The sequence below is a fragment of the Homo sapiens genome, chromosome 6, assembly GCF_000001405.40.
Source record: "Homo sapiens chromosome 6, GRCh38.p14 Primary Assembly".
NCBI lineage: Eukaryota > Metazoa > Chordata > Mammalia > Primates > Hominidae > Homo > Homo sapiens.
The window spans coordinates 75301407-75315624 of record NC_000006.12 but is presented as its reverse complement, the minus strand read 5'-3'; the positions used below and the strand labels follow the sequence as shown (position 1 = coordinate 75315624).

General features: G+C 40.4%; 1 protein-coding gene across 8 annotated transcripts in view; it reads left to right on the top strand.

The window, feature by feature from the left end:
* Window positions 1-14218, top strand: part of FILIP1 (filamin A interacting protein 1) — a 201942-nt gene that overhangs the window by 178176 nt on the left and 9548 nt on the right. For 4 of the 8 annotated variants that reach the window (NM_015687.5, XM_047418647.1, NM_001289987.3 and 1 more), the window contains 2 exons: window positions 423-3228; window positions 6728-7535. In NM_015687.5, the coding sequence (NP_056502.1) occupies window positions 423-3228; window positions 6728-6934 (3013 nt within the window). In that variant the 3' untranslated portion in view covers window positions 6935-7535. Of the gene's footprint in view, window positions 1-422; window positions 3229-6727; window positions 7536-14218 lie in introns of those variants that run through there. The other 4 variants (NM_001300866.3, XM_047418648.1, XM_005248713.5 and 1 more) reach the window with 3 other exon arrangements.

Sequence of the window (14218 nt, the reverse complement as noted above, 5' to 3'; positions counted from 1 at the left end):
ATGCTAACACCAAGGATACAGAAGACATTATGTAAATAGTCATTATTATTGCACAACCTAAGTTTTACTTAATGGCTACTGTATTAAAGTATAATACATATGCAGAAAGATACTCGGAAGTGTTCAGCTTACTGAAATTTCATAAGGTAAGCTAAACAATCCTGTATAGCAAGCATGCAAATTACAAAAGAGAAACTAGTTACACTCAAAGCCCTCCTCATGCCCCCTTCTAGCCACTACCCCTAAGGGTAACTAATATTTTGACTTCCCATTCATTTCATTAATGGCTATTCTTTAAACATTGAAATTATAGCAATTGATAAGGGATTTATTGTAGTGGCTTTTTGTTTTTTATTTAATATCAATGCTTAAATCTGTTTGCTGATTACTCTTTTAACATATAGGTATATTTTATTTTCTAGGTTAAAAAAGCTCCTTGAACAAGAAAAGGCTTATCAAGCCCGCAAAGAAAAGGAAAATGCTAAACGACTCAATAAACTAAGAGATGAGCTTGTTAAACTCAAATCCTTTGCACTCATGCTGGTGGATGAAAGACAAATGCACATTGAACAACTTGGCCTGCAAAGCCAGAAAGTACAGGATCTTACTCAGAAGCTGAGGGAAGAAGAAGAGAAGCTCAAAGCCATTACTTCCAAATCCAAAGAAGACAGACAGAAATTGCTCAAGTTAGAAGTGGACTTTGAACACAAGGCTTCGAGGTTTTCTCAAGAGCATGAAGAGATGAACGCTAAACTGGCTAATCAAGAGTCTCACAATAGGCAACTTAGACTCAAGCTGGTTGGCTTAACCCAAAGAATCGAGGAGCTAGAAGAGACCAACAAAAATCTGCAGAAGGCAGAGGAAGAACTTCAAGAATTAAGAGATAAAATTGCCAAAGGAGAATGTGGAAACTCTAGCCTCATGGCAGAAGTGGAAAATCTTCGAAAGCGTGTGCTTGAAATGGAAGGTAAAGATGAGGAGATCACTAAAACTGAATCCCAGTGTAGGGAATTGAGGAAGAAGCTGCAAGAGGAAGAACACCATAGTAAGGAGCTCAGACTTGAAGTTGAGAAGCTACAGAAGAGAATGTCTGAACTAGAGAAATTGGAAGAAGCATTTAGCAAGAGTAAATCTGAGTGCACCCAGCTACATTTAAATCTGGAGAAAGAAAAGAACTTAACCAAAGACCTGCTAAATGAATTGGAGGTGGTCAAGAGTCGAGTTAAAGAATTGGAATGTTCTGAAAGTAGATTGGAAAAGGCTGAATTAAGCCTAAAAGATGATCTTACCAAGTTGAAGTCATTTACCGTGATGCTGGTTGATGAAAGGAAAAATATGATGGAAAAAATAAAACAAGAAGAGAGAAAAGTGGATGGACTCAATAAAAATTTTAAGGTGGAACAAGGAAAAGTTATGGATGTAACTGAAAAACTAATTGAAGAAAGTAAGAAACTTTTAAAACTAAAATCTGAAATGGAGGAAAAAGTATACAACTTGACAAGAGAAAGAGATGAGTTGATAGGCAAATTGAAAAGTGAAGAAGAAAAATCCTCTGAATTAAGCTGCAGTGTTGACTTACTAAAGAAGAGACTTGATGGTATAGAGGAAGTGGAAAGAGAAATAACAAGAGGAAGGTCACGAAAAGGGTCTGAGCTCACCTGCCCGGAAGATAATAAGATTAAGGAACTAACACTTGAAATTGAGAGACTGAAGAAACGTCTCCAACAATTGGAAGTGGTCGAAGGGGATTTGATGAAGACAGAAGATGAGTATGATCAGCTGGAACAGAAATTTAGAACTGAGCAGGATAAGGCTAACTTCCTCTCTCAACAACTAGAGGAGATCAAGCACCAAATTGCCAAGAATAAAGCAATAGAGAAGGGTGAGGTTGTGAGCCAGGAAGCTGAACTGAGACACAGATTTCGGTTGGAAGAAGCTAAAAGTCGAGACTTAAAAGCCGAAGTACAAGCTCTTAAAGAGAAGATTCACGAATTAATGAACAAAGAAGATCAGCTTTCTCAGCTCCAGGTAGATTATTCTGTACTTCAACAAAGATTTATGGAAGAAGAAAATAAGAACAAAAACATGGGGCAGGAGGTTCTCAATCTGACCAAAGAGTTGGAGCTTTCCAAGCGCTACAGCAGAGCTCTTAGGCCCAGTGTGAATGGAAGAAGAATGGTGGATGTTCCTGTGACGTCAACTGGAGTCCAAACTGATGCAGTCAGCGGTGAAGCAGCAGAGGAAGAAACGCCAGCTGTATTCATACGGAAATCCTTCCAGGAAGAAAATCATATTATGAGTAATCTTCGGCAGGTGGGATTGAAGAAACCCGTGGAAAGATCTTCTGTTCTAGACAGGTATCCTCCAGCAGCAAATGAGCTCACTATGAGAAAGTCTTGGATTCCATGGATGAGAAAGAGGGAAAACGGCCCCTCCATCACTCAGGAGAAAGGGCCCCGAACAAATTCCAGTCCAGGGCACCCAGGAGAGGTAGTCCTTTCACCAAAGCAGGGCCAGCCCCTGCATATTCGAGTGACACCAGACCACGAGAACAGCACTGCGACTTTGGAGATAACAAGCCCGACATCTGAAGAATTTTTTTCTAGTACCACTGTCATTCCTACCTTAGGGAATCAGAAACCAAGAATAACCATTATTCCATCACCAAACGTTATGCCTCAAAAACAAAAAAGTGGAGATACTACTCTTGGCCCAGAACGAGCCATGTCCCCAGTCACAATTACTACATTTTCCAGAGAGAAGACTCCAGAAAGTGGAAGAGGCGCATTTGCAGACAGGCCCACATCCCCTATTCAGATAATGACGGTGTCTACATCAGCAGCACCAGCTGAGATTGCAGTTTCTCCCGAATCCCAGGAAATGCCCATGGGACGGACAATCCTCAAAGTCACCCCAGAAAAACAGACTGTTCCAACTCCAGTACGGAAATACAACTCCAATGCCAATATCATAACCACAGAGGACAATAAAATTCACATTCACTTAGGGTCTCAGTTTAAACGGTCCCCTGGGACTTCAGGTGAAGGAGTCAGTCCAGTTATTACTGTCCGACCAGTAAACGTGACAGCCGAAAAGGAGGTTTCCACCGGCACTGTCCTTCGCTCTCCCAGGAATCACCTCTCCTCACGGCCTGGTGCAAGCAAAGTGACGAGCACTATCACCATAACACCGGTCACAACGTCATCTGCTCGAGGAACCCAGTCAGTGGTGAGTAGAAGAGGCTCCAAAGCGCAGGCCTGCAGAGGGAGGGAGACGTGAGTAGTGAGACTACCCAGCACCCACAGTAAAACCCAGCCACATGCTTCTCATGCTACCTGAATCCACCAACAGATGCTTCCCAGAGGACCATCCACACTGAGAACTGAATGTAAAAAGTGACCTAATAGTTTAATAAATTAGGCCAACTTTGAGGGAAAACTTCACCTATTCATGTAAATTATGGAGAGTGCCATAAAATACTTGCAAAGATAGCCTCTTTGAAATGGTAGCATATAGTAATCAGAAGGCTTAAAATTTGATTTTAATGTTTAAGATACTTTTTTTGAATGGAGACGGGGGAAATGGTCTATATGGAGGAAGAATTAAAATTGCTCCTAGGTTATGTTTCTATGAACTAAAATATTCAATATGTGGTTATATATGGCCACAGTCATATTTTATCCCAAAATAAGATGAGAAGATTTTAATATCAAAAACTTTTTTAAAAGTGAAAGAGAAGTGAGTTTACATGTATAAAAACTGTATTTTATTTAATCATATCTTGCAGACAGCACGTGCTTCATAAATATTTATTTAATAAATAGCTGGGGCTGGGTGCGGTGGCTCATGCCAGTAATCCCAGCACTTTGGGAGGCTGAGGCAGGTGGATTACCTGAGGTCAGGAGTTCAAGACCAGCCTGGCCAATATGGTGAAACCCTGTCTGTACTAAAAATACAAAAATTAGCTGAGCATGATGGCAGATACCTGTAATCCCAGCTACTTGGGAGGCTGAGGCAGGAGAATCACTTGAGCCCAGGAGGCGGAGGTTGTGGTGAGCTGAGATTGTGCCATGCCACTCCAGCCTGGGTGACAGAGCAAGACTCCATCTCAAACAAACAAGCAAACAAACAAACAAACAAACAAACTAGCTGGAAGGCTAAATGAATGATTATTGAAAAGCATGTGCAAAGCACAAAAGCCGGAACTTAAATTCTACCAGCCTGGGAACAGGGCAAAACATCATCTCTACTAAAGATACAAAAAAAAAAAAAAAAGTAGCTGGGTGTAGTGGTGCACACCTGTAATCTCAGCTACTCTGGAGGCTGAGGCACAGGAATCACCTGAACCCAGGAGATGGAGGTTGCAGTGAGCCACGGTCATGCCACTGCACTCCAGCCTGGGTGACAGAGTGAGACCGTGTCTCAAAAAAGTAAATAAATAAATAAATTATAAATTATATTTTTCAAAATACTTCCAGTGATTGTCTTCATTTATTGGTGGCAAATTGGCAAATGTAATTATAGAAGAGCTTGTACTGTTTAGATGTTAACTTAAGCTAATAGACTAGAAATCGTGATTTCTAGACCCTGAACAAGTTCTACAGCATAAATTGAAACCTCTTAAGAAAGACAGGAAGCTCATAATTTAAATATAGAAACTGTGGCTTATTTTCCTATATTCTTAATATGATTTACTTTAATTTTCTATGCACAAACATAGACTCGAGGCAGGCTCCAAAGTGTGAATTACTAATTGCTTTGCCAGTAAAGCTTTTACTTATTGGCTCCTTATGAGCCAAATAGCATTCAGAATTATTCACTGTCCTCAGGTGGTCCGATACTGCTTTTTAGGTAACATAGAGCATAGCTTGGTTGTGTAGGGTTTTGCTTCTTTCTGCTGCATTTTATAAAAAGATATTGGAGGTATAAATCATTGTAACTTAAAGCATATTTTCTGCCGTAACATTTTCTTACCATTTTTAAGTGTCAGATCAAGGTAGCCCTACCCTCTGTATTGACATTTTTGACTACTGATTAAACCTCATACACGGGTAGCATTTCAAAGCAACTGTCTAAGATTTCTAAGTTCTGAATGGTCCACCTATTTTAAGTATATCAGATCTCATAAAATCAAGGACAAAAGGTTTGGAATACTCCTCTTAGAATTTAAACACTGAGGGTAGTTCATTTGTACATTTATTCATTCAACATTTGTTGAGTGTCAGCTACACTTTAGGCATGGGCTAGGTGCTGGGAAGCCAGGACTGTAGAAGTTCTTGACTCAGTGGAATAGACAGGTTTGGAATCTACTTAGTGGTTCTATGATAGAGGTATGTACAAAGGAGCCAATGGAGAAGGCTTCACAGAAGTGGAGGTTTCACAGTTAAAGAGGGATTTTCAAGAAGGAAAAGAGAAGGATTTTGTAGACAGAACAGCATGTGCGAAGGCACGACAGTGTGAAGGAGCCTGGCGTGCTTGGGGAATGGTGAGCAGTCCCATTGTGCTGCTAACAGTTGCGCATGGGGCAAAAAATGCAAGGGCAGAAAATAAGGAAGCAAACTGGGGTTGGATATTGAAGGGAGGCACATACATGTCTCATTATGAAATTGATATTTATAGATTAGATAAAGGGAGCCACTGAAAGGGTGATGATCATGAGAAAAACATACTGTTTATGTTTTAGAAACATGTGTGTGGAAAACAGTTTAAAGGATAACTTGGAGGGACAGGGATGCTGTTGCAATTCTCTATCTTAATGATGGAGCAGGCTTGAACTATGGTAGTGAAAATGAGGACAGAGATATAGTGAAGACAGAATCATAACGATTTCATGACAAATTGAGTAGAGAGGGTGACTCTTGGGTTTCTGATTTGGCTGTCTGGGAGAATAAGATGAGAAACTTTAGGGGGACTAGCTGTCTAGGAGAGAGGATAAGTAATGTTTGGGGCATGTTATATTTAAGATGTCTGGGGAACATCAGAAATGTCCAGTGAGTAGTTGGGAATAAGGATCTGCATTTCTAGAGGGCACTGAAGCCTAGGGATCCCAGGGTTTGAACACATGGGGTAATAACTAAGGCAATTCTCAGGGTGAATATTAAACATTAAAAGGAGGCTGAGAATGGAACATGGTGACACATTTAGAAGGCAGGCAGAGTAGAGAACAAGAAGCCAGCAAGAGATTGAAAAGGGGTCATCAGATATGAGAGGTGAATTGATGAGTCTGTCCTAAGAAATCACAGCAAGACAGTGTTAGGAGCACTTTAAAAAGGAGGATGTGGTCAGCAGCGACAATAACATGCGAAGATTCTGAGGTCTTTAGGAGGTGAAAAGCGAGTGGCTTCATCTGAAATGGAAGAAAGGAGGGAGTGTAGAGTTAATTTAGGGAGCAGTAGGAGTAAAGTTGCCTGAGTTTTTGCCTGGTGGTCTATATTTATTTCCTCTGTGAAACTGGAGTTAAGGCCATCTTCAGTAAGGGCAGAGGAGGTAAGTTAGTGCTTCAGAAGAGAAGGAAGTTTCAAGCAAAGTTGTTTTAAGTGAAGGGAAGGGGAGATAATCAGAGTGGATTAGATACAAACTCCAAGTTTCTCACAATTATTTTATCTGGGGAAGGGTCTTCTGTGGGTGTTCCTGTGTGGCAAGAGTCCCACTAATGTTCAGATTGATGGCATATCCAGAGGAAACTCACCAACATCTCCCTTGTATCTACGTATTTTCTCTCTTACAGTCAGGACAAGACGGGTCATCCCAGCGGCCTACACCCACCCGCATTCCTATGTCAAAAGGTATGAAAGCAGGAAAGCCAGTAGTGGCAGCCCCAGGAGCAGGAAATCTGACCAAATTCGAGCCTCGAGCTGAGACTCAGTCTATGAAAATAGAGCTGAAGAAATCTGCAGCCAGCAGCACCACCTCTCTCGGAGGGGGGAAGGGCTGAGGGCAGTGGCTAAGGGGGTATGTTGTGCAGATGCTACTGCTGCCGTGAAAGTGAACCTTCATCTGTTTGTGCCAGTTCTTTACATGTACTAATTTAAGTTTTAAATATTGTGTTTATAAAATAACCAACTAATAACCATTTGTCTTTCCCATTTTGTGCATTTGTTTTGATGCTGGGGAACAAAATTAGCAAAACTATTGCTTGCTGCCTAGAAGCCAGGGCGTGGTTTCTAGTTCCAGTTTTGCTTCTAGCAAGTGGACCCATCAATAGACCCATCTGAGCCTGTTTCCTCATCAGTTAGATGTGGGGACTCAATCACACGCTCTTCAAGTCCGGCTCCCATATTTCCTAATTGCAAGCCAAATTTAATGTACCTTGTTCCACAATAATTTTTTATTAAAAAAATCCTATTACAAAATAAGACATACTTTAACTATTGTCATTTGCCTCTTTCACATCATGAATTTGCTTTATGTGCTGGAAAAAACATCACATAGCTATCACAGGGCCTGGACCTCTAAAATTTTGCAAAAACAAAAGGTTCTAAGATGATTTCAGGAAATAATGTGAACATGTAATAAAATGGAAATGAAATATGGAATCCTAAGAACAGAGTTTTACTTATTTGTGTGTGTCTGTGTGTATTGTAGAAGTTTTAGCTCCTCCATAAGATTCCCAGAATTTCTTAGGCAATAATTTTAAAATCATTAATGTCAGACTCGTGCTCTATTCAAGTGTGCAATTGATTTAAATTGTGGAATAGTTTGAAAAGAGCTGCCAAATGGCCTTTTATAGCTCAACAGAGATTGTGATGGATAGAAAATAGCAGAAAGTAAATTCTGATACATTAATGCCAAGGGAAAAAATGACATCATGCATATCTTAATTGAATTCAAATATTTTTCTCAATTAAGTATAGACTTGCAAGTGTAAAACCAGTTCATGATTTGGGTGTGTATGTGTGTGTGTGGTGTGGAGAAGTGGATTATTTCTGTCAGTTTTACTCTTGTTTGAATCAGTTTCTTTCATTTTTAGGCATGTTTTAATAAGCATGAAGCAGAGTGTGAGTGCAAAATGCCAGGTGTATTTGTGAGATTAACCATGTTAAGGTGGACTTTGTGTTTCATAGCCACATAACCACAAACGAGTTCAAGGCTAGTAACCCACAGCTTAGCACACAAGATCTCATGTAGGCTGCACCTTTGCTGACATTTTTGAGCCAACTGAGTGAACTTTACAAAAATACAACAGCAAAAAGTCACAGATTTTTAGTTTTCCATTTTTGAATTGTGAGTGTTCCAAAATTATATGGATAGCACCTGTTCTTGATATTTGGGAAAAAGCATACTTCTTTAAAAAAAAGATGTATGATTAGATTTTTATCTCATGATTCAACATGTTTCATGATAACGAAGCTCTTCTCTGAGTTCCTTTCCACACCAGATTTTCTATTGCTTGCAGAACTTGGGCTTGAATTGTATATAGTGGTGGTAGATGTAGATGCCTCATAGTATTCACATTCATTTTAATCAGATCGCTGTTGCCTACTGCTCATCAGTTCTCGGCATTATATTACAAAATGTTGAGTAGCTAGGCATGGTGGCTCATGCCTGTAATCCCAGCACTTTGGGAGGCTGAGGTGGGTGGATCACTTGAGGCCAGGAGTTCGAGACCAGCCTGGCCAACAGGGTGAAACCCCATCTCTACTAAAAATACAAAAATTAGCCGAGTGTGGGGGTGGGCGCCTATAATCTCAGCTACTCAGGAGGCTGAGGCAGGAGAATCACTTGATCCTGGGAGGCAGAGGTTGCAGTGAGCCAAGATCATGCCACTGCACTCCAGCCTGGGAGGCAGAGGTTGCAGTGAGCCAAGATCATGCCACTGCACTCCAGCCTGGGCGACAGAGAGAGACTCTGTCTCAAAAAATAAAAAAGGAAAAAAAAGAAAATTGAGGAGCCATGTTAAAGACCTGCCATAGTAATGGGATTTCAAGGTCAAAGGAGAGGGAGAGACTGAGAAAGAACATTTTATGATTTTGGGTAAATTTGAACAAGAGAGATTGCCATTTGGAATACTGACATATTTTTTTACAAGATTTTTCCTCTTTCATAAAGTGAACATTCAACGCTTTCAAAAATGAAGACATTCACTGTTTTTACTAATGTGTACCTGACATTTGTGAAGTATTTAGTGTTACTGTACCATAACGTATTGTATTTGAGCGAATGAGGGTGTCAGAAGAACCAAACACCGCATTCCTTTTGACTCCACCTGCCATTCTTCAGTGATTTTTATCATAATCTTATTGCCGCTTGCTGCTGCTTTTGCTTTTACCTTCTCACATCATGCTTATGGTGTTTCTTCCAGGAAGTCTATACCATCTACAGGAGAGTGCTCTGAAGGCTTAACAGTGCGTGTACAGGATGTTTATACATCTAGATATTGGAATAGAGCCACCCACAAAGTACAACTGCTAAAAAAAACTTGGCAGAACAACACAGATTTGCTTTTCAGAAATGATAAAGAACAACTACCATGACAGTTTTTCTTTGTAATTTTAGAGCCCACTCTATATTTATTGGATAGCTTTGCTTTAAGCCACACATTAGAAATAAAATCCACTGGGGATAGGAGGTGGTGAACTAAATGTACCACAAATCCAACTTCCATTTGTGAAGACAGTACTTTTAAGATGCAACTTAATGTGCTTTTTGTAGGGGTGAATGGGATGAAAACTTTGCAATATTTTCTCTGTCCTGAAACGTACTGCGTAGTAAAATAAAAGGGGTCTCACTATGGCTGATGTGTACAGCTGCTGCTCAGGCCCCACCCTGAAATCTTGGGACGGTGGGTGACTTTGGGGTGGGAAGGGTGGGCCATTTCCACAGACTTCAGTGTGTTGGTGCCCTCTAGGGATGTGCAGGACACGATCTACACAGCTACAGAGGAGACCCTGGTCTTCACTGCCTGAGAATAATTATAATGTGCTGACTATTTCAGCACACTATGGTGGTGTCCAGCTTACATGCATGATTCCAGAAATGTTTCGATATGGGACACAGCCTCAAGAGTGTTTATCATTTTTTTACATGTGAGCTATATATCTAGGTCATCTGCTTAAAAGCTATTCAGTTTCTACTGGTGTTTTAATTGTATTTCCAGTGAGGACTGGTTGATGGGTGGCAATTGAGCTCTCTCTAGAGATTTTAGGGTATTCGTTAAGGGTGTACCCAGAGCTCTTACTCGAATGTCTTCAAGAAAGAAGTGAAAAATAGCTTTCATGTGTAGTGTGGGAAGAGTATAATTTCGGAGACATGAAAACAAGTCTAAGAATATCAAGTGTAAAAATATTTAAATTTCTCATTCCCCAGATTCAGAATATTGAGGAAAGGGTGAGACTTTCCTTGTTGGGAAAAACATGGGGTTATAGATATGAAGAGCACATTTATATTGGAGGCTGGAGGGCTGAGAGAGAGAACGAGTAATGAGGAGATGAGCATAGAGAGGATTTCCCAGGAAACAGGAAGATATGATTCCCAAATTTTCCCAACCTGGATAATGTTTCCTTTCTGTCTCTTTAGGGTCTCATCATTGGTTATTTCTTTGTTCTCTGGTCTTTCCACTTCTCGTTTTCACTTGCTATCCTCTGACCTCTCTCATTTTAGCAAAATTCCTCCTTCATCTATGCAGTCCTCTGTAGCTACTGCCCAGTCTCCTTCCATGCCCAGGTGAGCTATTGAGAGAATTCCTGCCTCCAGTCTCACACTTATTTATCATTAGTCACTTTTTATTTTTAATAAAGAAATTCATATACATAGTTCAAATATCAGCCAGAGCTAAAAGACAATGAAAACAGATGTTCCTTACCACTTCCCTGAGCCCACAGTTTTTTCCCCCGGAGAACATCACTTCCAACTCTTAGCTCTTTCTTCTGGCATTTATCTCCATATTTCTAACTAAAGTGCTTATAGTGTGACTTTCTATTTCTAGATTTTAGATCTCTTTTGTCTTCGCATTATTGTTTTGATGGTTGAAGGTTTAACCTTCTCACTTATCCCTTCTCTTTCCTTTTTCTCATTTTCCCAATATGATTACATCCTCAACTTTTTGATAAATCAGCAGCCAACATTTATATATTTATGTGTTTTGCAGTGCAAATTTAAATATAGTTATCTGGCCAGGCATGGTAGCTCACGCCTATAATCCCAGCACTCTGGGAGGCTGAGGCAGGTGAATGACTAGAGCTCAGGAGTTTGAGACCAGCCTGGATGACATGGCAAAACCTAGACTGCAGCCTCAAAAATACAAAAAATTAGCTGGGCATGGTGGTGCATCCCTTTAATCCCAGCTACTCGGGAAGCTGAGATGGGAGGATTGCTTGAGCCTGAGAGGCAGAGGTCACAGTGAGAGATAGTGCCACTGCACTCCAACCTGGGTGACAAAGTAAGACCCTGTCTCAAAATAAATAAATAAAAATAAATAAATAATAAATATTACTATCAGCTGAGCCAAGTAGTATACTATGATTATGCTCTCTTCCTCTTACCACATTTCCCCCTTCAAAAGAATAATTGTTTTAATTTTTCATCTGCTTGGTTTTCCATATATCTATATATATATTTTTCCAAATGCTCCATTAGACTTGCCAAACACCTATCAGTAATTTTTCCAAACACTTAAACACACCAGTTTCATATTTTTCCCTGGAGGCCTTCCTAGTTCAGCCCTCTGCTTCCATATTCAGTCTGGACTGGTTGTTTTCTAGGCCTGCTGCACAGCTGTTGCCCTTTTGCCTATGTTGAGTTCTCTGTTTCCCTGATTGGTTATATTCTACTTCTTTTATCTATTGATCTATCTATTGATCTGCCTATCATCTATCTGTCTTTATCTATCTATCTATCTATCCTCTCTCTCTCTTTCTCTCTCTCTCTCTCTCTCCCTCTTTCTCTTTACATCTTCTAATAGTTTTTAAAGGAAAAAGTCCTCCAGTAACCTTTCTGGGGCAGGCTATCCAAATTCTGGTCAGGGGAGGTAAGATGAGAATCTCACAGCTCAAGGTATAAAGTTTTTACTCCCCTGCAATCAGTCTGCTGCCCATTCTTATGTCTGGGTCCAGAACTTCTTAGGTCAGTTTTTCCAGAAAACAAACCTCTGGTCTCTAGTAAGGGCAAGGGCAGAGTTAGGCTGTGCTCTTTTCCCTCAATGACCAAGATATCTAATCTGCTTTGCTGCTTCTTTCACCTCTTTGCTCTGCTTCAGTTTCCCTTGTTGGCTCCTTATTTTATGTATACACAATAAGGATTGATGTTTCCCACATCTCTATTAAGAGCCATGTTCCTGCTCTACAAGCTGGCTCTGGTTATTTCATCTACACCCAGATGCCAATGACTCCCAAACTTCTATCACCAACTGTGTATCCATCTTTATAGTGTGTTTTTCCAAATCAGCTTGTCTAAAAACCATTTTCAATACTGCCCCATCTTCTTCCAAAGCTTCTCCTTCTCTTATTATTCTCCATCTCAACAGGGATATCTAACCCATTCAGTCTCCCAAGCTAGAAACCTGGTAACCATCTATGCTTCTCCTTCTCCTTCTGCCCTCATTCAGCAAGTCCTGCTTATTCTCTCATTCTAACCCACTAACATCTCTAGCAGCTGACTCCTCCTCTCCATTTCCCCTACCATGGCCTAAATTGAGGGTTTTAACTACTTTTCATTTGGGTTACTCTGATACCCTCCTAATTGGTCTTGTAATCTCCAGCCTCAAAACTCTAGGATTCATTTTTCATTCTTGCAGTTTTCCAAAATGCAAGTTGATCATATCATACATCATATCATATCATATCATATCATATCATATCATATCATGTCATATCATATCATATCATCATCTCTATTTGAAAACCGCCCAAAAGTTCCTTATTACTCATAGAACACAATGCTATGTACTTGAGGCACTCTGTGACTGGGCTCTACTTCTCCATTCTTCTGAGCATCTTTCCCTTCCCTTGGCGGGACCCCCACACTCCAGGCTTAAATAATTGCTTGACTGTCAGGCCATGCCACCCTTCCTTGACTTGCTCAATTTGTTCCTTCTCCTTGTATTGCCCTTTCTCCTATTTTTCTTTTGGCGGATGTGTCCTTCTCTGATCAAAGTCTATTTTATGAACATTGCCTCTTCTAGGAAGATAAACTATTATTTCAGAATCTACCCTGGGGTTTAAAGGCCTGTCCACTGCTGTACAAAGCTTGGCACTCACTATAGATAAACAAAACTAGAAGCTGAAAAATGGCAGAAAGTTGGGCAAGAAAGAGCTGTTTCTGATTCCTCTCTTTGCAACACAAACCAGTGAGAATGACGTGGAAGGAACTAACAAGTCCTGTGTGAGAACACACAGGTAATGAGATGGCAGAATTACAGGAAGTCCAGGTACTGTCATTTTTGGGTGGTGAAAGTTACTTCTATTTCCCTCCAAAGGCACAACAGCAGGTGATGGATGCAAAACAGCCAGGAGTCCTGGACTGGGGAGTTCTCACCTCAGAAGCCACCAGGCCTGTGAAGAAAGGGGCCTGAGAGCTTTCTGTGAAGTATAAACACACAGTACATGCATGAGTTACAAATGGCCCTTTCCTCACCCTTTCCGACTCCCCCAGCAGAACACAAAGGCACTTCAAGAATGAGAAAGTTTCAGGGGTTTGTCTCATGCTCTTCAAGTTCATGAAGGACCCTCAAAATAGGACAGAGAGGCTCTCATTTTAAAGGACCAAACACCACCAAAAAGCAGGATTTAGATTTAGGATAGATATCAGGGTGAATATCCAGAGAAGAAGGGCTGCTGAAAAATGGACTTGATACCTGAGAGAACTGAAAACCATGAGACTGGAGCCATACTCTTTTCTACCACCAAAAGGTTGTGTAACCTTTGGCATATCACCCTACCTTGGCCTATGATTTAGCACTGAGCTATAATTTTTTATGATTCTGGCATTCTCTCTTAGAGTCATAATATAATATGCTTCACTATTGTTTAGCAAGCACCTTGCAAGATCCTGCTACAATGCTTTTCCTAAGATCTAATGATTAATTACTTACCTGGTAAAAGTACTTTTGGCCTCTCTACTTCTGCTAATGCTACATATATGCAAAATCACAGAGCTGGTTAGAACTGAAATAGACCTTAGAGATCAAGAGGATAATTACTATTACTAAAGAAGACAAACAGCAACAAACCCTTTAAAAAAAATCCCTGAGGCGTACAGATGTCTAAGCATCTTATTAATGATA